Here is a 23,458-nt window from a genome sequence, read left to right as displayed (position 1 = left end):
CTTGACATACCACTCCACTGGAGGTGACCCAGGGGTAGAGAGATGCTTAAGGAAAAGCAGTTCATTTTCTTCTGGCTCATGTTCAGTAACCAGGGTGCCCAAATACTTTGAAGACGGAGTCTTAATCCAGAAGATAGGAGTTCTGTGTAACCTATACTATATGGTTACTTGATAGCAACAAAGTTCTTGTTGAAATATTCTGTTATAACTCAAAGGTTATATTATGTTTGCTTTTTTTTTCTGGACTCTTTAGTGGAAAATGGAAAAAAATACTACAAATAAAACATTAAACTTTTCCTTCCAATATTTCACCTTTATTTCAGTCTCAAAAAAAGTGTTATTTGCAACTTTAATGTGGCCAGAACCATATACATTTGAAAGGCTGCTAAATTGAAAACAATAGAGCCTGCATTTTGGTTGTAACAATCCATTCTGTGTATTTGCATGTGATTATAGATTTGCTAAGTTTTAGTTCCTCCTTTCCTCTGGCTGTAACTTGAGGCAGTGAAGGAGAAAGAGAAGGCAAAAAAGGGTCAATAGAAGAAGGAGCAACTGGACAGAAAGAACCTTGAGGAAGTAGGAAAGAAGACATGTGCAGGGGGTTGAATGCTTATGTCCTTCCAAAATTCATATGTTGAAATCCTAAACCACCAAGATGATGGCATTAGAACATGGGGCCTTTGGGCAGTGATTAGGTCATGAGGGAAGAGGCTTCATAATTGGAATTAGTGCCCTCATAAAAGAGACTCCAGAGAGTTGGTAGTCCCTTTCACCATGTGTGGGCACAGCAAGAAGTCACCTTCTATAATCAGAAAGCAGGCCCTCAATAGGCATGAAATCTGCCTTAATCTTGGAGTTTCCAGCCTCCAGAACTGTAAGAAAGAAATGTTTGTTATTTATAAACCACCCAATTTATGTGTAGCTTGTGATAGTAGCTTGAATGAACTAAGCTAACACGGTAAGAACCAGAAATGAAGATAGAGTGACGGTGATGACTGTCAAGCACACTCATGAGAAGCAAGGCAAGGCCATGGCCTAGCTGATTTGGCTGGAGAAGATATGAGCCACTTTTACACTTAGATGGCTTATTATTTACATATAAAAAAGAAGTAAAAGCCAAACGTGCCAATTCCCTGGCTCCTTGTCCTACACACCAAAAAGGATGACACGGAAACCAAAGGGGCCAGACGACTGTGACACTGTTGTGGAATATACCACTGGTGAGGAGTCAGTTCTAGAATCCAGCTATTCCTCATTATATTCTTCAGCTATATCCTAAAGGGTGTGGGGCAGAAAACCCCATGCTCCATCCAAAACCTGGGAGACAGTAAAGACTTGTCACATGACATACTCCCAGGGATATAAGAAGGAGAGTGAGAGATGGCATTGAGGCAGGTTCTAAAGGGCCTCCCATCCTCTCATATTCCAGGAGGATCAAAAAGCATTCTTCTAAATCTCAGATTAGCTGTTCTTCAAGCCTTTGCTTACATGACCTACGTAGATACATGCAAGGTGTCCAGAATGCTATGATGGAGTAGTTCCCCTACACTGACATGACAATTGGAGAGCAATTATATAACCAGAAATAGGCATGGTGGAGTTAGGAAATCTATAGAAGTGATGACAGTAAAAAGAACAGAATGGAGGATAGAAATATTAAGAATGGACAGTGATAGGAATGATAATATTTGAATTTGTGTGCCTTATGGAGCTACCTATCTCCTCTCACCCAATTTCTTTTATCTCTCTGTCCCTCTCTTTCTCATTCTCCCTCTCATAGATAACATAGCCACACTGTGACCCACCACAGTGGCTCAGGTGTATGTGGGAAGGGTAGTAGTCTGGAAAACTTAACATGTTCATAAATCTTGAAGAAACTCTTCTTACTTTCGAAAGTATATTAAGCAGCTCTCCAGCTTTCCCTGGAGTCTCTTTCCTTCCCTAGTAACCTCCTGAGTGCTCGCTTTATCTCCTTGTTCCTCAGGGTGTATACGAGAGGGTTAAGTGAAGGAGTGCCCACTGCATAGAAGAGACCAAAGAACTTGCCCCTCCCTTGGGCATACGGATTTTTGGGCTGGAGGTAGACAGCAATGACTGAGCTGTAGAAGAGGGTGACCACAGTGAGATGGGAGGAGCAGGTCCCAAAGGCCTTTCTCCATGCTGTGGCAGAGTTAATCCTCAGCACTGCCTGGGCAGTGGCTCCATAAGAGGCAAGGATGAGGCTGAGAGGCACAACCACGAAGATGACACTGGACACAGCCAACTGGATTTCATTGTAGGAGGTATCTCCACAGGAGAGTCGAATCAGAGATGGGACCTCACATAAAAAGTCATCTATCTGCTGGTGGGGACAGAAGGGCAAGTGGAGGGTGGATGGTGTCTGGACTATCGATTGAACCAGACTCATAACCCAGGCCACAGATGCCAGCTGCCAGCACAGGCGGGGGTGGATGATGGTGGCATAGTGGAGGGGCTGGCAGACAGCCACGTATCGGTCAAAGGCCATCACTGTCAGGAGGATGCACTCAGTGGTCCCCAGGGACAGGAAGATGAAGAGCTGGACAGAGCATCCCAGGAAGCTGATGGTCTTCTTTGGGCCCCAGAGGTTGACCAGCATCTGGGGGACACAACTTGTGGTAAAGCAGAGGTCCAAGAAGGAGAGGTCAGAGAGGAAAAAGTACATTGGAGAGTGGAGCCTGGGGTACAGTACAGACAGCAGGATGATGAGTGTGTTGCCCACCAGGGTCAAGAGGTAGGAAGTGAAGACAACCACAAAGAGAGTCCTTTCCAGTGCTGGGTGTTCAGAGAAGCCCAGAAGGAGGAAGCCCATGGGGGAGCTTTGGTTAACCATGGCCTGTTCTTGTTTGTACCTGGAGGGATGAGGCTGTCACCCCAGTGTGATTCAACCTGTCTTATCAAAACTCAGCCTGGGTGTTTGTGAGGTCACAGCAGGTAGGTGTTTCTTTTCTGTCTCTGCTCACCCAGCCTCCCTTTCCCAGGCTTATCGTCATCCAGCAGCTCCTTCTCGTTCCCTGTTCCTTCTGATCAAACGTTGTCTAGCAGAAGTGAGGAAACCAAGAATGTGCTGGAAAGCAGGTGGAACCTCACATTGGTGCCTCTGACTTCCTGGTTGAGGGCAAAGAAAGCTGATGTAAAACATGGATTAATTAACCGATCTTCATTAATTCAACAATAAATTGTTAGGCTCTATCTTATTCTAAATGTTGTGGTAGTTCTGAATATTTCATTATGTACATCCATAAAGAATTAGAAAAGAATCATTTGATAGAATTGCCCTACTATTCATATGTATGCAAAATTATTCTGTATTCTGGGGCATAAGTTTCCTGGAATTATTCATGTTTTATCTACTTTATCTTTGTTTGCAGAGGTGTCAATCAGAGGCAGAGTGTAGAATTAACAAAGAGATTTCTCCGCTGTGTGTATTAACTCCACTCATAGAAAAATCAATGAGGTATTTTGTTCCTTCTCCATTAAAAAAATTATGATTCATTAAACTAAATGTAAGAGCTTCCTCCACAAATGAAAATCCCTAACCTCAACTTAACATTATGTAGAATGTAGCAAAATGACATGAAAAAAATGCTGCCAATTGTCTTGTTCTGGGGCTTAGAAATTAAAAAGATGATATAATTTTTAAAATTTTTTGCCTCTCAAATAAGATTATGTCAATAGCAAAATAGAGAGTTGATATTGGGACGTTTAAGTAGAAATTATTCAGGATCTAGAAGAATTTAAAGAAAAAAAGGAAGGAATTAGAATTTGTTACTTTCTTAATTCTATTCACTATTTAAGATTTAAAACATTATTTTTATAAAAATTCATACCCCCAAATTTTAAGAGTAATTTAAAGAATTTCTGAATGTTCTTTATCTATATTAGTAAAGTGCTAACACTTGACATTTTTATCATTACATCTTTATCTTTGCATATGCAATTATATTTACCCTGAGCTACTGAACAGTGAGTTGTATATATAATGCCTCTTCACTTCTTCATGTTTCTAAGATAGAATTTTTTTTTAGTGTAAAAACAGCTCAGTTACTAAATACAGGAAAGCCAACATTGATAAAGTATTATTGGCCGGGTGTGGTGGCTCACGCCTATAATCCCAGCACTTTGGGAGGCTGAGGCGGGCGGATCACCTGAGGTCAGATGTTTGAGATCAGCCTGGTCAACATGGTGAAACCTCGTCTCTACAAAAAAAAAAAAAAAAAAAAAAAAAAATTAGCGGGGTGTGGTGGTGGGTGTCTGTAATCCCAGCTACTCAGGAGGCTGAAGCAGGAGAATCGTTTCAACCTGGGAGGTGGAAGTTGCAGTGAGCTGAGATCGTGCCATTACACTCCAGCCTGGGCAACGAGAGAGAAACTCTGTCTCAAAACTAACTAAATAAATAATAAAATATTATTACTTACTCTGTAGACCATACTTATAGTTTTGCCAATAATTTCTGTTATATACGTGTTTTCCCATGGAAGATCCACTCCAGATTATGTATGTCTGAGCTTGCCCTCTTAAGTAGCCTTTCCTTAGTCAGTGAAATAACAAGCCTTAAAGTATAGGCTGGTCGGTTCAGTTCCTAGCATGAGAAGCAGAGAGACTAGAAGAGTATGGCCTCATGTATTCAATAAACACTGGGAAATACATGGGAAAATTGAGACCCTCCCCAACACCGCCGCCCAGAATTGAAGGCAAATAAATTAAGATGAGGTGTGGGTTAGGAAAGAGTCTGCACAATAAAGGAGGAATCTGGGTGGGTGGGCCACGGAAAGCCTTTAGGAGGAGGTGACATGCATTTTTGCTGTAAAAGACTGTGCTGAGACACATGAGGCAAGCTCAATGATGGGGGTGGGATGCGGCACCACCCTGGCAGGTAAGAGGCAGAAACTGAGGGTTTTCTGAGCACAGACAATGGCAGGAGGGCCGTTTAGGGGATGTGGCCATTTAGGGCAAGCAAGTTGGTGGTCTCATTGGCAGACAGTGCCCTGGGACTTTATGGGATGGCACAATCACCTCTGCATCACAGGACCCTGTCTGGTGTTAAAAGCTGCCTCCCATCTCCCTTTTCATCAAGACTCCCTCCTTTTTGTCTCCTTCTATATTCCTTCCTCCATCATTACGTCTCTCCTTGAGGATAAGATTTGTTCCCTTAATTTTTTAAAAATCATATAAACAAAAAGTATATAAAACACATCTATGGATTTTATGGAATAATAAACACATGGTGTACCTGAATCTCCTCCTGATTTAAGAACAGATCAAATATTACTGGTATCTTAGAAGTCTTCTGTGTTCTCCTCCCTGATCACATCTCCTTCTCTCCCACTGAAGAAGTAAACACTATTCTGATTATTTTAAATGTATCGTTCCTTTTTAAACTTTGCAGCCTCATATCTTTTGTGTCTCAGCAATTGTCCAGAGTTTTATTCATCCATAAACTGCAGCATTTCTTACATTCTTACTCTCTTGGCAACTTGTCTCACTGTATGTTTTTTCTTAATCTCTTCAGTTTATATCTTCCTTTGACCCTCTGCACTCTCCTATTTTCTATCTTTAATAACATGCCTTTTCCTTACCCTGTTTCTTCTGGTCCTTTTCTCTGACACCAATAATAGGCAAGCACTACTTTCCCTACATCCCATTAACTCCACACAGAAGCACATTAATTTATTCTTTTTTGGTCCTCAAAGAGCCAGTCATGTACTAACTGCTACAAAGTTATGAGACAAATTCTGCCCTACAGTTCAATAATAATAACCACTTATAGTTTTGACAGTTACTATCTGTTGATGTCCTATATACTAACACTGTGCTAAATAATTTCCTGGAATATCTGCTTCTTAAAAGAACCCTGCTAGACAGTTAATATCTCTGCAGAAGAACAAACAGTCTCAAAGAGGTTAAGTAACTTGCCCAGGGTTACCCTGCCAATGAGTGTCAGTGCCAGGATTGTAGACCCTGTTTGATTCAGAACTGTCTTAAGAACATGTGGAAATTGATGGGCTGTAGGGGAATAAACTTGTGACTTACTTGCAATTAAGTCAGACTCTCTTCACGGCCTTGCTGCCACAGCTTCCCCATAGAAAGGAACTTCTGGACTGGTTGGAGCCTCCACTTGTGATCTCACAATGAGAACTAAAAGCAAACTAAAGAGGAATGTTATACTCTTGATGATTATTGGAACTTGGATTTCAGTTAAGAGTATTGATTGCTAGTGCTTACTTCCATGGGCACTCAAAAAAGCGCTTCATATTTACGGCTCCTTATAACTTCAAAAGGTGGGTACTATTATTACCTTCCCTTACAGATCAATAATTGAAGACATGTAGAGGTTGAATATCTTGTTCTGGAAAGTATAGCTAGTAAGCACCAAAGACCAAATTTTAACCCAGGTGGGCTGGCTGAAGAAGCTATGCGCTAACCACATTCCACCATTGCTCTGCCAGACACATGAGCTAGAGTTAGCGCTTTACTATGGAACTCTTGCTAACGACTTCTTTTCCTCAATCCAGTAAGTTAACCTCTCTTTTAGTGACATTAAAGGCAGAAAAAAAGGCATAGTGAGATGATGGGGGGAGGAATCCCAAGACTCCCATCCCATAGAGAGAAGTAGCTCATTAATTCTGCCAAGACTAGGTGCCCCATAACCTATAGACAGCTAATTGGCCACAGCTACTAATGGTTAAGAAGGAATGTGAAGATTCAAAGGAAGTGTGCCAGCAACTGAGTTCCCTTTGGCATATAAAAAGGTCACCACTGCTTCTCCGTGTCACTGGGGAGTAAAAGGGCACTATTCTCTCCTGATCCACACCTTCTGAGTGTCCCATATTTCCAGCCTTCCTCTCAAGCCTCGAATGTGCTCATTCAATCCCCCCTGACTTTGGTTTATTTCCTTTCTCTTTTTAAAATTAAGGTATAATTTACATAATGAAGTGCACATATTTTAATGGACAATTCACTGAATGTGAACAAATGTATACATCCAGACAACCATTACCCTACTGAAGATATAGAACATTTCCATCACTCCAGAAATTTCATCATGCCCATTTACAATAATTCTCCCCATGCTCTAGGCAACCACTGCTCTGATTTCTATCATTTTGTTTTGCTTTTTCCAGAACTTCACATAAAAGATTCATTCAGCACATACTCTTTGTGTTTGGTGTGTTATGCTCTGTACCACAGTTTGGAGAATCATCCCTGTTGTTTTGTGTATCAATAGTCCAATTCTTTTTTAAAAATATCAGTGAGTAGTATTCTCTTGCCTAAATATATCACAATTTTTTCATCCATTCACTTGTTGATGAACATTCAGGTTTGTGGTTGTTTTAAAATATGGCCCCCAATTTTCTTATATCCCCTTCACAAAGTAGAGCCTACTTCCCTTACCTTTGCATGGGAGCTGTACTGAGTGACTCAGTTTTAACAAATAGAATCTGGTAGAAACGATGGGATGTGACATCAAAGACTATGTCACAGTAACATTGTGACTTCTTCTTTGTGGATTGTTTACTTTGGAGGAAGCCATCCTAGCAGTGAATGGAAACACACATATGGGGAGAAACTAAGGCTCCCTACTAAAAACGTGCAACATGTGACTGGGACATCTTGTAAGTGAATCCTTCAGCTTCATCCAAATCTTAGAAATACAATCAGCTGACTTCTTGACTACAATGTCAAGAAAGATCCTAAAATAGATACATCTACTATGTATTCACAAAAAGTTTTTAAAAAGTTAAAAGAAAGATCCTAAGCTAGAATCACCAGCTACTATTTAGCTGCTTCTGAATTGCTGGCCCATAGAAACTGTGAGATAATAAATATTTGTTGTTTGAAGCCATTAAGTTTTGGGATAACTTTTTATGCTGTAATAGAGAAACAGTGTGGGGTGGTTTCCAGTTTTTGCTGTTGTGAATCAATCTGCTATAAACTTTCATGTACAAGTCTTTTGTGTATGTGTATTTTCATTTCTCTTTGGTCAAAACCTATTTGTGGAATTTCAGGGTCATGTGATAGACATTCTAGTGGATATCAGGTGATATCTCATTATAGCTTTTATAGCTTTTTAATTTAATTTTTTTTTTTTTGAGACGGAGTCTTGCTCTGTTGCCCAGGCTGGAGTGCAGTGGCGCGATCTCGGCTCACTGAAAACTCTGCCTTCCGGGTTCACGCCATTCTCCTGCCTCAACCTCCCGAATAGCTGGGACTACAGGCGCCCGCCACCACGCCCAGCTAATTTTTTGTATTTTTAGTAGAGACGGGGTTTCACCATGGTCTCGATCTCCTGACCTCGTGATCCGCCCACCTCGGCCTCCCAAAGTGCTGGGATTACAGGCGTGAGCCACCGTGCCCGGCTTTTTTTTTTTTTAGACTGAGTTTCACTCTGTCGCCCAGGCTGGAGTACAGTGGTGTGATCTCGGCTCACTGGAACCTCCGCCTCCCAGGTTCAAGTGATTCTCCTGCCTCAGCCTCCTGAGTAGCTGGGATTATAGACATGTACCACCATGCCCAGCTAATTATTGTATATTTAGTAGAGACGGTGTTTCACCACATTGACCAGGCTGATCTCGAACTCCTGATTTCAGGTGATCCACCTGCTTAGGCCTCCCAAAGTGCTGAGTTACATGTGTAAGCCACCAAGCCAGGCTAATTTTGAAAATTTTTTGTTGTATATGTATATGCTTAGGATATACAGGATTTCCTTTTTTTTTTTTTTTTTTTTGAGACAAGTCTCATTCTGTCTCCTAGGCTGGAGTGCAATGGCACGATCTCGGCTCACTAAAACCTCCGCCTCCTGGGTTCAAGCGATACTCCTGCCCCAGCCTCCCAAGTAGCTGGGATTACAGGCGCATGCTGCCACACCCGGCCACTTTTTTGTGTTTTAGTAGAGAGGGGGTTTCACCATGTTGCCCAGGCTGGTCTCGAACTCCTGAGCTCAGGCAATCCACCCGCCTCGGCCTCCCAAATGATGTTTTGATATACATAGTTAAATGATTACTATGGTCAAGCCAATTAACATATCTATCAACTCACAGTTACTTTTCTTGTGGTAAGAGTACTTAAAATCTATTCTCTTAGAAATTTCCAGTATATAATACAATGTTGTCAACTGTAGTCCTCAGGCTATACATTAGATCTCTAGACTTATTAATCTCACAGTAGTTTCTAAATTTACAATTATCCAACAACTAAGTCATTGAGCATCTTTTCATTGGTCATTTATATATTCTTTTGTGAGGTGTCTGTTCAAGTCATTTGTCCATATTTTATAGTGTTTCCTTTTATGATAAAAGTATATGAGTTCTTCATATATTCTGCATAAAAGTCCTTTGTCAAATAAATGCACTGTGCTATTTTTTCAGTCTGTGGTTTGATGTTTCAATTTGAATGGCGTCTTCAAAGGAGAAGAAGCTTTTAAGTTTGATTAACTCAAAATTCATCAATTATCTTTTTGCAGTTAAGTGCTTTTTGAATCCTAAGAAATCTTTACCTATTCTAAGGTCATAAATATTTTCTTTTATGTTCTTCTTTAGAAGCTTTTAATTTCTAGCTTATATGTTTATTTATATGACCCATGTTAATTTTTTTGTATGTTGTGATATAGGAGTCATAATTCATTTTCATACATATAATAAAATATTATGAAAATGGCTGCTTTTTTACACTTGATCTTAGCCAAAAGGCCGAGAAGCGATAAAAAAAATGGCTGCTTTTTTAAACAAATCATAATGGTACAGTTTTTATACCTATATCTGGTTCCTCCAGTACCATTTGTTGCAAAGAATATCGTTTCCTGTATTGAATTATCTTGGTGTCTTTGTGTAAAATCAATAGATCTTATGTGTTTGGCTCTATTTCTGCACTTTCTATTCAGTTCCACTGATCTCACCAGTTGATGACATTTGGATTGTTTCTACTTTTTGGGTGTTACTAATAATGTTCTTATGAAGAGTCATTGAAGGCATATGATTTAAATTGTCTTGGATATTACCTGACAGTGGAATTATTGGGTTGTATAGTAAATTTTTTTTATAAAAAACCTGCCAAATTGTTTTCCAAAGTGGCTCTGTCAATTTTGACATATTCTTGCCAACACTTAATCAGTATTTCACATCTTTGTCAACATCTTATACCATCAGTTTCTTATTATAGTCATTCTAGTAGACTTGTAAGTATTGTGTTTAATTTCATGTTCTTAATAACCAATGATAAAGAGCATCCTTTCATGCCTTTTTTTTCCATCTGGGCCCCAGCTGATTGGATGATACCCATCTATATTGATAGTGGATCTTCCCTACCCAATGAAAGACTATATTGTCCATGAATTCTTTAAAAATGGTTTTAATTTAACTATTTATATTAGATGTTTTGAATCTCTGTTTGCTAAATTCAACAGCAGTCCCACTTACAGTCAGTTTCCATTAACTGCAGTCTTTTCTCTAAGACTTGATTATACTTTCCTGTTTCTTTGCATGTCTCATTTTAGATACTATATTGACAAGTTTATATTCTTATTTTTTTCTAAGAATTATTTTGTTAACATTATTGGACATAATCTGTGGACTGTGTATCTTCCACCATTTATGGCTTCCATGGTCTCAACCTAGCTCTTAAAAATTCATATTTTAAAATCTTGGATCCCAGAAGTTTCCCTTGTTCTTGCACAGCTTAGTGTTCAGTCAATGATTGGGTGAAGGTTTTGGTCAAATACTTTTGATTTCAAAAGGCTTCCATTCTCTGCTAATGCATCTGCCTTTGTGCTGGGACCATATTCAAATTCAGAGAGCTTTTAAGTTTGTCTTGGATTTTACTTCATGCTGGTTTCTCTCATGTTTCTTCTGTACATACCTGTAGTTTCCCAGTCAGCCAGGAATGTGTAGAGATCTTATCTAATTCTTCTATAGCTATCTAATTCCCAGCATCTTCCCATTACATTTCTGATAGGTTCACTGTTCGCCTCATTAAAACTGTAACCTCTGGATACCTGAGCCTTAAACACGATTGAGTTTGTTACTTTTACTGACATAAACCCTAGGCATGAGTTTTTATCTTTGTTCCAAATCATCTCAACCCTCTTTAATAGTGTAATTGTTGATTTTCATGGCCATTCCTGACTGGCAAAACTACCATCAACTAAGTTGGAGTAGTACTGGAGCACTTTTCACAGGACAGGCACAGTTACCTATGATTCTTACCTAAGCTTCTAGCACTGCTTTATGAAAAAGTGGTTCTCAATTTATTATTTGCCTTGGTTTATTTCCAGACACCTGAAATGATTGTTTTTGACAATTTTTCTGGTTTTATAATTTATTTGTGAGGTGGAGGAAGGAAGGATTTGCTGTCCTCTTTAATTCACCATATCTGGTGAATTTTATTTTTAATGTATATATATTAATTTATATTTATTATTTATTTCATAATTTATATTATAATTTTATTTTTAATCTATAAGTGTATTTATGATTAAGCTGTCTTTATATTTAAAGTGCAAGTTTTTTTCTTGGGGATACCATATGGATCCTGAACTTATAAGAGTCTACTCTGACTTAATACAATACCTTTAACATAGAATATAAAAATCTGATAATAATAAAATTAGTTATAATTCCTCCCATTCTTTGTGCAGCTATTGCCGTGTTTTACTTTACATATGTTACAACCCTTGTAATATATTATCATTATTTTTAGACTTTTAATGAATTTAAGAAAAGGAAGAAGATAACTTTTATATACACTTTTATGTTTCCAATCTTGAAAGTTTTTCGTTCCTTCTCATAGATTTGAAACTCCAAATATTATAATTTCTCTATAGCCTGAAAAACTTCCTTTATCCTTTTTTATTCTTTTAGTGAGTATCTTCTGGCAACAAATTTTCTCAGCTTCTTTTTAATTTCAGATGGCTTTATTTTGCCTTCATTTAAGAAAGATTATTTTCCCCCACTGGGTAATTCTAAGTTGGCAGATTTTTTTTCTCTTCACATTTGAAAGATAATTCATAGCCTTCTGACTCCCTTTGTTTCTGTTGAGATGTTGGCAGTCATTTTTATTGTTATTCCTTATTATGCAATATGTCTCTACCACTTCAGCGGGTTTTCAGATTTTTCTTTTTAAATCTTTGTTTTTCTCAGTTTATGATGTATGTAGATGTGGTATTGATAATGTGGATTGCTATTTTTATCGAATTTGAAAAAATTTTGCCAACATTTTTTGAACAATTTTTTTGTTTGCCCTTTTATCTCTCTTCTCCTTTTTTTCCCCTAATTTTTATTTTAGTTTCAAGGGGCACAGGTGCAGGTTTGTTACACGGGTAAATTGCGTGTCATTGGGGTTTGGTGTACAAATGATTTTGTCACCTAGGTAGTGAGCACAGTAACCAATAGGTAGTTTTTTGACCCTCACCATCCTGCCATTCTTCCAACTCAAGTAGGCCCTGGTGTCTATTGTTACTTTCTTTGTGGTCATGTGTATTCAATGTTTTGCTCCCACTTACAAGTGAGAACATGCAGCATTTGGTTTTCCAATCCTGCTTTAATTTGTTTAGGATAATGGTCTCCATCAGGATCCATGTTGCTGCAAAGGCCATGATTTCATTTTTCATGGGTGTATAGTATTCCATGGTATATAAGTACCATGCATTTTTCTTCTCCAGTCCACTGTTGATAGGTATTTAGGTTGATTCCATGTCTTTGCTATTGTGAACACATACACATACATGACTCTTTATGGTAGAATAATTTATATTCCTTCGTGTATATTTCCAGTAATGAGATTGCTGGGTCAAATGGCAGTTCAGTTTTAAGTTCTTTGAGAAATCTCCAAACCACTTTCAACATACATTCTCAGCAGCATGTATGAGCTAACATACATTCTCAGCAGCAGTGTGTAAGCATTCCTTTTTTCTCCACGATGCTTCCAGCATCTGTTATTTTTTGAGTCATTCTGACTGATATGAGATGGTATCTCACTGTGGTTTTCACTTGCATTTCTCTAATGAATAGTGATATTGGGCATTTTTTTCATGTGCTTCTTGGCTACATGTATGTCTTCTTTTGAGACGTGTCTGTTCATGTCCTTTGCCCATTTAAAAAAAATTTTTTTTCTCTTTAAGTTCCTTATAAGCTCTGGATATTAGACTTTTGTCAGATGCATAGTTTGCAAACATTTTCTCCCATACTGTAGGCTGTTTATTTACTGTCTTGATGGTTTCTTTGGCTGTGCAGAAGCTCTTTAGTTTAATTAAGTTCCACTTGTCTATTTCTGTTTTTGTTTCCATTACTTTTGACAACTTTATCATGAAATCTTCACCCATTTGTATGTACAGAATGGTATTTGCTGGATTTTCTCCCAAGGTTTTTATAGTTTTAGGTTTTACTTTTAAATCTTTAATTTACTTCGAGTTGACTTTTGCATATGGTGAAAGGAAAGGGTCCAGTTTCAATCTTCCTAATACGGCTAGCCAGTTAGCCCAGCACCATTTATTGAATAGTGAGTGCTTATTTTTGTTGACTTTGTTGAAGATAAGATGGTTGTAGGTGTGCGGCATTATTTCTGGGTTCTCTGGTCTGTTCCATTGGTCTATGTATCTGTGTTTGTAACAGTACCATGCTATTTTGGTTACTGTAACCTTGTAGTATAGCTTGAAGTTGGATAATGTGATGTCCTCAGCTTTGTTCTTTTTGCTTAGGATTGCTTTGGCTATTTGTGCTCTTTTTTGGTTACATATGAATTTTAGAATAGTTGTTTCTAGTTCTGTGAAAAATGTCATGGGTAGTTTAATAGGAATAGCATTGAATCTGTAAGTTACTTTGGGTCATATAACCATTTGGATAATACGGATTCTTCCTATTCATGAACATGGAATGTTTTTTCCATTTTTTGTGTGTGTTGTCTCTGATTTCCTTCAGCAGTGTTTTGTAATGCTTGCTTGTTGTAGAGGTCTTTCATCTCTCTGTCTAGCTGCTTTCCTAGGTATTGTGTGTGTGTGTGTGGCTATTGTGAATGTAATTGCACTGTTGATTTGTCTCTCAGCTTGGACATTGTTGCCATATTCTGTGCCATGCCAGATGGAGTACTTAACAGAGCAGTGGATGTTGTAATGAACATATGTCTGCTTTTAAGATTCCAATAAAATATTTTAGGATTATAGCTGTGGACAGCTTTCAGTTTTTCAAGGATGAGGTTGGATTCTATACCCGGGACATAATTAGGCTGAGCATTCTCAGGAAAGTTAAGATCACTACAAGCCTCTCCACTCTACCCAAACACTGAGTTTCTGTTGTGAGGGATGACCCAGCAGGTCTGGGATAGCTGTTGAGAGTTTTGATACTATGGTTGGGCCTAAGAGGGAGGCTGCATGGGAGAAGCCAAACTACCAGCTGGGGCTGTGGGACAGTGGTGGAACCAAGGACAAATGTAGTCCCCTGTTTTAACAATGACCATTGTTGTGTTTTTTTTCCTCTTCTAGGGTCTTTCTACATCCCATATCTTAGTTACTCATAAAACTGTGCTGCCACAGGCCCATTTTTCGGTGAGAAAGCTAGAAAAGTTGGAGGACTTATTCTAAGTCACGCTGTTACCAGCCTAGAGGGGCATCTCAGTGTTTTGAGCAGCTTCTCGTTTTGTGAGCTTTGTGGATGAGTGGTAAGAAAGATGGTCATTTGGGCCGGGCACGGTGACTCAGGCTTGTAATACTAGCACTTTGGGAGGCTGAGGCAGGCAGATCACCTGAGGTCAGGAGTTCAAGACCAGCCTGGCCAACATGGAAAAACCCCATCTCTACTAAAGATACAAAAATTGGCTGGACGTGGTGGTGCATGCCTGTAGTCCCAGCTACTCTGGAGGCTGAGGCAGGAGAATTGCTTAAACCTGGGAGGTGGAGGTTGCATTGAGCCGAGATCATGCCACTGAACTCCAGCCTGGGAGTCAGAGCGAGACTCCATCTCCAAAACAACAAAAAAAAGAGAAAGATTGGTCATTTATGGGTGGGTGGGTGTATTCGAAGGAAATGTTCAGTTGTGAGGATATCAGAAGAAGGAAGAAAAATCATAACTGGGAAAGAAAGATACTTTTTTGTGAGACGTAGCTTGAGTAATTTATTTTTGATATTTGATTTTTTGAAATATTTTTTGAGTACTTAACATATGTAGAGATTAGAAACTTCTGGTAATTAAGAGGGGGCAAGATAGCTAGAGTATCATTTAGTATAGGATTATAGGGAGGTATTTGAAGTTTTCTTCTTCTTTCCTTTTCTTTAAATAGTAAAACTGAACAGAGAGTAGAGAGGTTTTCTGTATACCTCCTGCCCTTCCTCCCTAGGTGGACTCTCCTACTAACAACATCCCATATTAGAGTGGTAATTTGTTATAACTGATAAACTTACACTGACATATCATTATCACCCAACGTCCATTGTTTACTTCAGGACTCACTCTTGGTACTATATATTCTATGTGTTTGGACAAGTGAATCCTAGTACATACAGAATAGTGTGACTGCCCCAAGGTTCTCTGTGCTTTCTATTCATCATTCCTTCTCTGACCCCATACTCCTGCTGTAACCTCTGGAAACCACTGATATTTCTACTTTCTTCATCATTTTGCCTTCACTGAAAGAGTTTTAAGGCATATTGATTAGGAGAAGTTAGAGGTTAAAGTAAAAGAAGGAGAGGTAAGAGGTCACCAGTCATTAAAAATACATTGAAGGCAAGAAAAGTGTTGGGAGAAGGGATCATAAAAAACATGAGTACTTCAAAGGGAAATAGGGATGAGAGCTACTGGGTAATATCAGGAAATTTTTAAAAAGAAGGTGTTTATTGGAATTGGAGATGGAAGTCATGGGAAGCAGGAGTTCTAGGACACCAGAGGTCAAAGTGTCCAGTATGATAAGAAGGAATACAGAAGGCTTGAAAAGGAATAAGAATTCATTAGAGGAGTTGAGTGGCATGCAGAATGGACACAGAAAATTGCCAGAACTGGCCAACTCGAAAATGGGGCTTTTGCCGACAGTTTGGTGCCTACTTAAACAGAATGTATCACTTGGTTGTCAGACATTATTCTATAGTGGCAGGATTCTATGACTTGCCCTTCCTTTCCCAGATTTCATGATTTTCTCAAGTGACCCTTATGGGGCATCCAAATGTGGCAACATAATAATTCATGGACACCAGAATTATCCAAGAGGAACTGGAGAGACAACAGCATTGGAGGGCCATCCAAGACCCCCAGTAGTCCTTTCTGTACTTGGTCTCCATGTGCCATCTTCACTTCCTTAGAAAGGGTCGTGTGGCTGGGTGTGGTGGCTCACGCCTGTAATCCCAGCACTTTGGGAGGCCGAGGTGGGCAGATCATGAGGTCAAGAGATCGAGACCATCCTGGCCAACTTGGTGAAACCCCATCTTTACTAAAAATACAAAAATTAGCTGGGTGTGGTGGCGCACACCTGTAGTTCCAACTACTTGGGAGGCTGAGGCAGGAGAATCGCTTGAACCCAGGAGGCGGAGGTTGCAGTGAGCCGAGATCACACCACTGTACTCCAGCCTGGGCGACAGAGCTAGACTCCTTCTCAAAAAAAAAAAAAAAAAAAAAAAAGAAAGGGTCATGTTGATCACTTTTGGATCTTTTTTGATGACCAGTAGAGTGCTATAGACTGGCTAAAAGAAAGAACTGAAGGAACTGTGACTCATTTACTTTCTATAGAACACCAGAGAGAAAGCCAAGGAATGCAAAGAATGCATATCCAGTGTCAAGGAGGAATGGGGAATGAGCTGAGTTCCTAAGGAGGCCCAGCCAGGCCATCCCAGAAACAGGAAGAATTAAAAGCCTCATCATCTAGCAGAAATCCTACAGTATTTATTTCACTAATTTGTTTTAGGTCCTCTCTTTGGATAATACAGAAGAATAACTCTACAATGGCCTCATTTATACTGCCAGAGGGCCCATAATGGTGATTCTCCAAAGAGTATATGGCCTGCATTCTCATTCACAATTGGGACGCACCCCTGTACTTATCTCTAGTCCTCCTTCAGTTCATTTCCAGACCCATGCTAGTGCAAGACTTAAAAGTGCTCCAGCCAGAAGAGTCTTCTACCACTCGTTCAAATTCATTCAACAAATAAATATTATCAAGTATAAAATTCCAAATTGGCATCAATAATATAAAACTGTCAATGCAAACCCCATTTTTCAAATTGACTATTTTTAGGAGCTGAATAAAGATCAAAATGATAAGCCCAATGTGTATAGGTATCTGTGGTCCATTGCAAAAATGAACTATTTCCCAATGGCTGCTTTAGAAAGTTTCTATTTGAAAGGCAGTAAATAAGAGGCATCATGATTGCCTAGGGCAGTATTTTTACCCTTGGAGTCAAGGATGGTCAGGGTTTCTATGTTTATCATTTGTATTCTTTTATGCAAATGGGGAATTAGGTCTAGATACCAAGAACTAGACCAGGATCTTATTGGGGTCGGAAATTAGGAGTAAAGCCAGTCCACAGGAATATCATGAACTGAAAAACAAAGAGGCAGAAAACATTGTTCTGGATGATAAGTTCCAGTTATTAGGTAAAATATTCTCGTGAAAAGTTGAGTAATTTATTTAGGTCCATCAGGGTGCCTATGGTCGACAGAGTCCTCAACTGTGTTATTTCCGCTGCTTGGGTTCTAAACCACCTTTTGACCTATTATTTGGCTTTCTGAAGAGGGTGATTGCAAAATGGATCTTATTATGCAGACCAGGTGTGCTGCTTATTCAGAACTCAGCAGTTACTTTGGCTCTAAATCAGCCTCCTGAGAAGTCAGTATTGGTAAGTCAGTCATTTCATTAGGGCTTGGTCACTGACTGGTATATTATCAACCATGTTTTTTTCAGGCATGCTGAGGTTGAAGCAAATGGGAGAGAGATGACTTTTAACTTCTGTGCTTCCACCTCCTCATTCTCTCAAGTGGCCGAATGTCTAACCTCAGTCAATCGTTGTGCCTTGAGGCTTGTTTCTCTAACTATATCCATACATATGTGGTGAATAAATATATCTATCATTCTTGGGTGCAAGTGCCCTGACTCCTGCTGCTTCTCTGCAGTGCCTCTAATTGGTTAAGAAGGTTGTGGCTTGGCTTTCCAGGCCCCTGGCAGGTGACATTGTCAGTCCTGGCTGCCAGGAGAGGAAACATCCAGAAAATGCTATTGCACAAACCAGGTGGTGGTTATGGTAGATGAGACAGATTAATAATATTGCCTCTTCTTGCAGGAAATGGGATTGGGTGATGAGGAGGGAGATAGGCAAGGGAAGCTCAGGGAAGGGAGGAAGTGGGTCTGGGCTGCAGTGAGAATGAAGGAGAATGAAGAGGATCCACTGAAAAGCTGAGCAGAGGAGAAATACAAAGGAAGTTGACCAGATTGCCAGCACTATGTAGAATAAGGCACACTGTGGGAACTTGATAATTATTCGCAGACTTGAAAGAAGTGTAAAGGGTTAGCCAAAAGAAAAAAAAAGTTGAATAGATGATGGGTGGCATCTTTGAAGCTTGAAGTTTGCACTGAGATCCCACTTTCTGTTTTTCTCAACTCTCAGAGGATCAACCCTGGAATCTTTTGTGTAGCAAGCCTGGTCAGCTCCTAATCCTTCTCCTTATGTCCCTGGGAGACCCAGAGCCCCTGTTTCTTGGTGGCCCTGATGTACCTGAGTTCTCTTCTTTCTTCTACAATATTTCCTCTTCCAACTCTTTCCTAGTCTTCCCTGACTGGAAAGAGTTAAGGCCAGTGAGGGCACACAACCTAGAGAGGCAGAGAGGCTGGCAATGGACAAGCACACGCTCCCATTTCCAGGACTGAGCCACAGCCTTTGTTCAGTGTCTCTTCCTGAGTCCTACATCCCTTTCCTGGCCCCTGTGTAAGATCCCCACGTGCTAGGCTCTCCAAGCCCTCCCTAGGGCACTGATTTGTGAATCCCAGAGAGCTCAGTGGGGAGCAGAAACGCAGGGGGACCATGCTGCCACAGGAGGAGCTGATGCAGGGAAGCAGTGAGCATAGACTGTGGGAGTGAGCTCTGGTTGGGAGGTTTCTCCAAGCCCTGTGAAGAGATTGGCCTGGGATGCACAGAGATGGCTTTCCTTGTGAGCCGGTGAGTCTTCCTCTGAGGTCTTTTTTGTTCTTTCTCTTTTCTCTGCTCAGTTCTTCAGCCTGCCTCTGTTTCTTCTTTCTCTCCTTCTCCCTTCCCTTCCATCTGACTTCTACCCTCCCTCCCTGATGCCACAGTCACTTCTTACTTCAGTTCTGCAAAGCTAAAGAATGAGGATACTGGCTGGGCACAGTGGCTCACGCCTGTAATCCCAGCTCTTTGGGAGGCCAAGGCAGGTGGATCATGAGGTCAGAAGTTCGAGACCAGCCTGGCCAACATGGTGAAACCCCGTCTCTACTAAAAATACATAAATTAGCTGGGCATGGTGGTAGGCTCCTGTAATCCCAGCTACTCAGGAGGCTGAGGCAGGAGAATCGCTTGAAACCAGAAGGCAGAGGTTGCAGTGAGCCAAGATCGTGCCACTGCACTCTAGCCTGGGCAACAAGAGTAAAATCCTGTCAAAAAAAAAGAAAGAAAGAATGAGGATACTTCTGGTAGCAGATACCATCAGGAGCTGGGGTGCACTATAGTGAGTGGGTCCCATGGGATTAGGGAAGTTGAGGAAGGGAGTGTCAGGGAGAAAGGTTGGTAGGAGGAAATATTAGGGACAGAGCAGTGGGATTTCAAGAAGCAGGTCAAGTTTTGCTCAGGGGCAATGGCAGGTGTGAGTAAGGGAGATGTGAGGTTCAGGAAGGTAGAATACAGTGGGGGAAGACTCAATATGGGGATCACTGATGGACTCTCCCTAGCTTTTGAGTGGTGTTTGTCTTGAAAACCAATGACTGTGCTTATATTGCCCAGGATTAATGTAGTTCAAGGTCCCTTGGTAGCTATCTATGGTGGAGAAAGAGCATTTGCTGCAATCTTCCTTCTGGTTCTTTGTGAGAGTATCAGCTATAAGAAGCATATAGTCCTTGGGACAAATAAGCACAGAATAGTGGATCTGGAACTCAATCCAGAGCTCATTTGATTTAGCCTTTATGTTTATTGATGATGAAATTGAAAACCAAAAAGATGATGCAAAGAGTTTGCTCTAGGTCCTGTAAAGTTTTAGTAACGGAGTAGAGATCACAACCCATGTCTTCAATCTTTACCAAGGTGTATTAGTCTGTTTTCACACTGCTGATAAAGACTTACCCAAGGCTGGGCAATTTACAAAACAAAGAGGTTTATTGGACTTACAGTTCCACATGACTGGGGAGGCCTCACAATCATGGTGGAAGGCAAGGAGGAGCAAATCACATCTTACATGGATAGTAGCAGGAAAAATGAGAGCTTGTGTAGGGCAGCTCCCATTTCTAAAACCATCAGATCATGTGAGACCCATTCACTATCACAAGAACAGCACAGGAAACATCCACCCCCATAATTCAATCATCTCTCACCAGGTCCCTCCCACAACACATGGGAATTATGGGAGCTACAAGATGAGATTTGGGTGGGGACATAGAGCCAAACCATATAACCAGGGATTTTCCATTCAATACTTTCCCCTGTCTATTTTTTTTTTTTTAATTACTGATTGGTGGCTCTAAGTCTTGCTCCAGAAAGACTAATGTGCTGGGTTACATAAATGTACAGAAAATAAGGATGAGAGAGACTGGACAAAGAAAAAGGTAGAATAGAACAACAACAACAACAGCAAGTGAGACCAGAAACTAGATATCTCAAAAATATATCGTGAGGAATTGCACATTTCCTGGAGATGAGTTACAAATTCAGGTGGAAACTTGCTAGCTGTCATGTTAAGAGGAAAAGTGATTACTTAATTTCTTAAAAAATTAAACATACACTTCCCATGTGATGCAGCCATTTCACATCTATGTATTTACCCCAGAGAAATGAAAGCATACAAAGACTTTGTACACAAATGTTCATAGAACCTTCATTCTATGAACCAAAAACTGGAAACAACCTGAACTTCCTTTAGCAGGTGAATAAATAAAAAATTGTGAAAACAACCCAAATTTCCTTCAGCAGGTGAATGGATGAACAAATTATGTCATATCTATACAATGGAGTATCACTCAGAAATGAAAAGGAATGGCTGCTGTACACACCACAACATGGCCAAATCTCCAAATATAAGTCAGACTAAAAAGAGTACATATTTTATAATTTCATTTATATAAAACTCTGAAAAAAGAAAAATATAGTGCTGGGAAGCAGATCAGAGGTTGCTTGGGAATGAGGAGTGCAGGGAGGGGTGAAAGAGAGAGATTACAATGGAGTGTGAGGGAGCACGGGGGCTGGATATGTTCATTTCGTGATTGCGCCTATAATGTCATGGTGCATACATGGGTCAAAACTTATCAAATTGCACACTTAAACATGTACAATTTGTCATATGCCAATTGTACTTCCATAAAACTGTGAGGAAATGTTATTGCTTATATGACAGGAAAAATACAGTGATTCCTATCACTGAGATATGAGAAAAATGATCCCTCTGAGAGTTTCATAATGTTGCTTCTTGTAATCTTTCTCAATGTAAACCAATGGCTTAATGCCAAAACACTCTTTAGCAAGACCAGTTCTAGGAAAGATGAGTTGATGGAGATATGTAGGAAGTGGAAATATTTCAGCATTTTAAATGTGTAGCTCTGTGCTCATCTGCTTTAGCTTGGGGATAAGATTTAGATTTTAAATTATCAGAGGAAAAGCTGTTTTGACAATCCTTTAGGCAACCCTTCTTAAATGCTGTTCCTCGCTATTGCAGTTTTGTTCAATTGAAGAGCAGTAGTTGTGAGGTTTTCCACATTGATAAAATGAGTTTGAGGAAGGCCACACAACCCCTTTTGGGGGGTGGGGACAGGGAGTAACACCTTTGTCTTTTCGCTTTACATTTTGAGTGTTTTCTTACTTTGCAAACTGTTCTCTGATAGTTTCATGAGAATCAGTGCTTTCTTAACAGGACAGCAAGTGCTCTCTGGACAGAATCACCACCCTGTATGTACTTGATATTCTCCACAGTGCCAAAGAGCAATAGGCACATAGAAAGTTTGCAATAAATACTGTTGCATTTGAATAAAGTGTTGGAATGATATAAAGTATGTAGATTGCACTTTTAATTATTAATAAATACTTGCCTCTTGGAGATGGCTGTTTTTGATTCACCCTCTCAGCTTATTCCACTTATTTGTTCTGCAGTTCACTGACTCTCCTGCATATCATAGCCCTTATATTTGCTCTTCCGTGTCTTGGTAGTTTTTGGCTCATATCTGTGCTGGGTAGCAGTTTCTGTTAACAGTGATGTATAGAGCCTCTTCTTCCACCTTCCTCTGGGTCTCTTGTGGGTTCCAATGCCACTGATATTTCAAGAATACCCTTCTCTTCCCAGCAAAGTCACCCCATGTGAGCCAAACATTAGCCTTTGCGCTGACCTGTCTGACTTGCTAACAAAAACATCTATCAAGATACTATTTTGTGCCAGATATTAAGCTTGATTGTTTGCAAGTCTACAAATCCTCACAAAAACCCAATGAATTAGACTCTGTTGTTACCGCAACTTTATAGATAAGAAAATTAAGGCTCACATAAAAACAAAACAGAACAAAACAAAAAACAAACAGATTATGTCCTTTGCAGCAACATGGATGGAACTGGAGGTCATTATTCTAAGCAAACTAACACAGGAACAGAAAACCAAATACCATATATTCTCACTTAAAAGTGGGACCTAACACTGAGTACACATGAACACAAAGAAAGGAACAACAGATACCAGGACATAATTGAGGGTGGAGGATAGAAGAAGGGTGAGGATCAATAAACTGCTTATCAGGTACTATGCTTATTACCTGGGTGACTAAATAATCACTGTGAGGTGAAATTTACCTATATAACAAACCTGCACATGTACCCTTGAATCTAAAATAAAATTTAAAAAAATTAAGGCTCAGAGAGATTATATCATTCACCTGTGATCACTTAGCTAACTAGCTGGAAAAAATAAGACTTGACTTTAAGTCTGTCTGACATCAGAATCTGTTCTCTTAACCTCTGCGGCATATGAATTTCCATAAGAACTTACCTTCATTGAAACTTTTGTGGCCACTCCTTACTTCTTGAGGAATCTGTCTTTAGCTGGTAGTAGATTTAATTAGGTATAATTATGTTTGCTAAGGTACTAACCAGTAGTACCACCCAAGAAACAAATGCCTTACCTAGGACGTACAAATGTCAAATGACTTTAAGGATCATTGTTGTGGCTGAAAATTTTATTACCTTGCTAGTCTGATAAGGATAATATTTTGTAACTTTATCCCTGGTTGTCAACTTGCTCTGCTTCTGAAATTGATCCTCCATCCTGGGTTTCTTGTT

General features: G+C 39.8%; 2 protein-coding genes and 1 long non-coding RNA gene across 13 annotated transcripts in view, besides 1 other annotated feature; 2 read left to right on the top strand and 1 right to left on the bottom strand.

Moving 5' to 3' along the window:
• Positions 293 to 7,466, bottom strand: OR2H1 (olfactory receptor family 2 subfamily H member 1). 11 transcript variants are annotated; one of them, XM_047418641.1, is made up of 6 exons: positions 7,414 to 7,466; positions 6,052 to 6,167; positions 5,252 to 5,346; positions 4,437 to 5,148; positions 1,888 to 3,745; positions 293 to 872 (listed from the first exon to the last, which is right to left on the bottom strand). In XM_047418641.1, the coding sequence occupies exon 5, from the start codon at positions 2,849 to 2,851 to the stop codon at positions 1,901 to 1,903; it is 951 nt and encodes a 316-aa protein (XP_047274597.1). In that variant the 5' UTR covers positions 2,852 to 3,745; positions 4,437 to 5,148; positions 5,252 to 5,346; positions 6,052 to 6,167; positions 7,414 to 7,466; the 3' UTR covers positions 293 to 872; positions 1,888 to 1,900. The 11 variants fall into 11 exon arrangements, with proteins under 11 accessions (XP_047274597.1, XP_047274598.1, XP_016866228.1 ...); XM_047418642.1 differs by having other exon boundaries at positions 4,437 to 4,600; XM_017010739.2 differs by having other exon boundaries at positions 4,437 to 5,346.
• On the top strand, positions 6,220 to 22,118 carry LOC105379641 (uncharacterized). The gene is made up of 2 exons (XR_002956335.1): positions 6,220 to 6,299; positions 22,050 to 22,118. It is a non-coding gene; the product is annotated as an uncharacterized LOC105379641 (long non-coding RNA).
• OR11A1 (olfactory receptor family 11 subfamily A member 1) overlaps positions 7,550 to 23,458 on the top strand; it is a 31,568-nt gene continuing 15,659 nt past the window's right edge. Inside the window, exon 1 of the mRNA NM_001394828.1 lies at positions 7,550 to 7,634. The gene's annotated coding sequence lies outside the window, so the exon portion shown is untranslated. The remainder of the gene's footprint in view (positions 7,635 to 23,458) is intronic.
• Positions 16,445 to 16,981: an enhancer, noted in NCBI's record as "NANOG hESC enhancer chr6:29415417-29415953 (GRCh37/hg19 assembly coordinates)". NCBI's record gives its function as "activates a minimal SCP1, AML or CMV promoter by ChIP-STARR-seq in primed H9 embryonic stem cells {active_cell/tissue: H9 hESC(primed)}" and the evidence as "EXISTENCE:reporter gene assay evidence [ECO:0000049][PMID:30033119]".

The sequence above is a fragment of the Homo sapiens genome, chromosome 6 (assembly GCF_000001405.40).
Source record: "Homo sapiens chromosome 6, GRCh38.p14 Primary Assembly".
NCBI classification, from domain to species: domain Eukaryota; kingdom Metazoa; phylum Chordata; class Mammalia; order Primates; family Hominidae; genus Homo; species Homo sapiens.
This window is presented reverse-complemented; position numbering and strand designations above follow the sequence as displayed.

Bases quoted from the DNA above. Each gene is read 5' to 3' on its own strand.
- OR2H1 (XM_017010739.2), bottom strand. From the start codon at position 2,851: ATGGTTAACCAAAGCTCCCCCATGGGCTTCCTCCTTCTGGGCTTCTCT.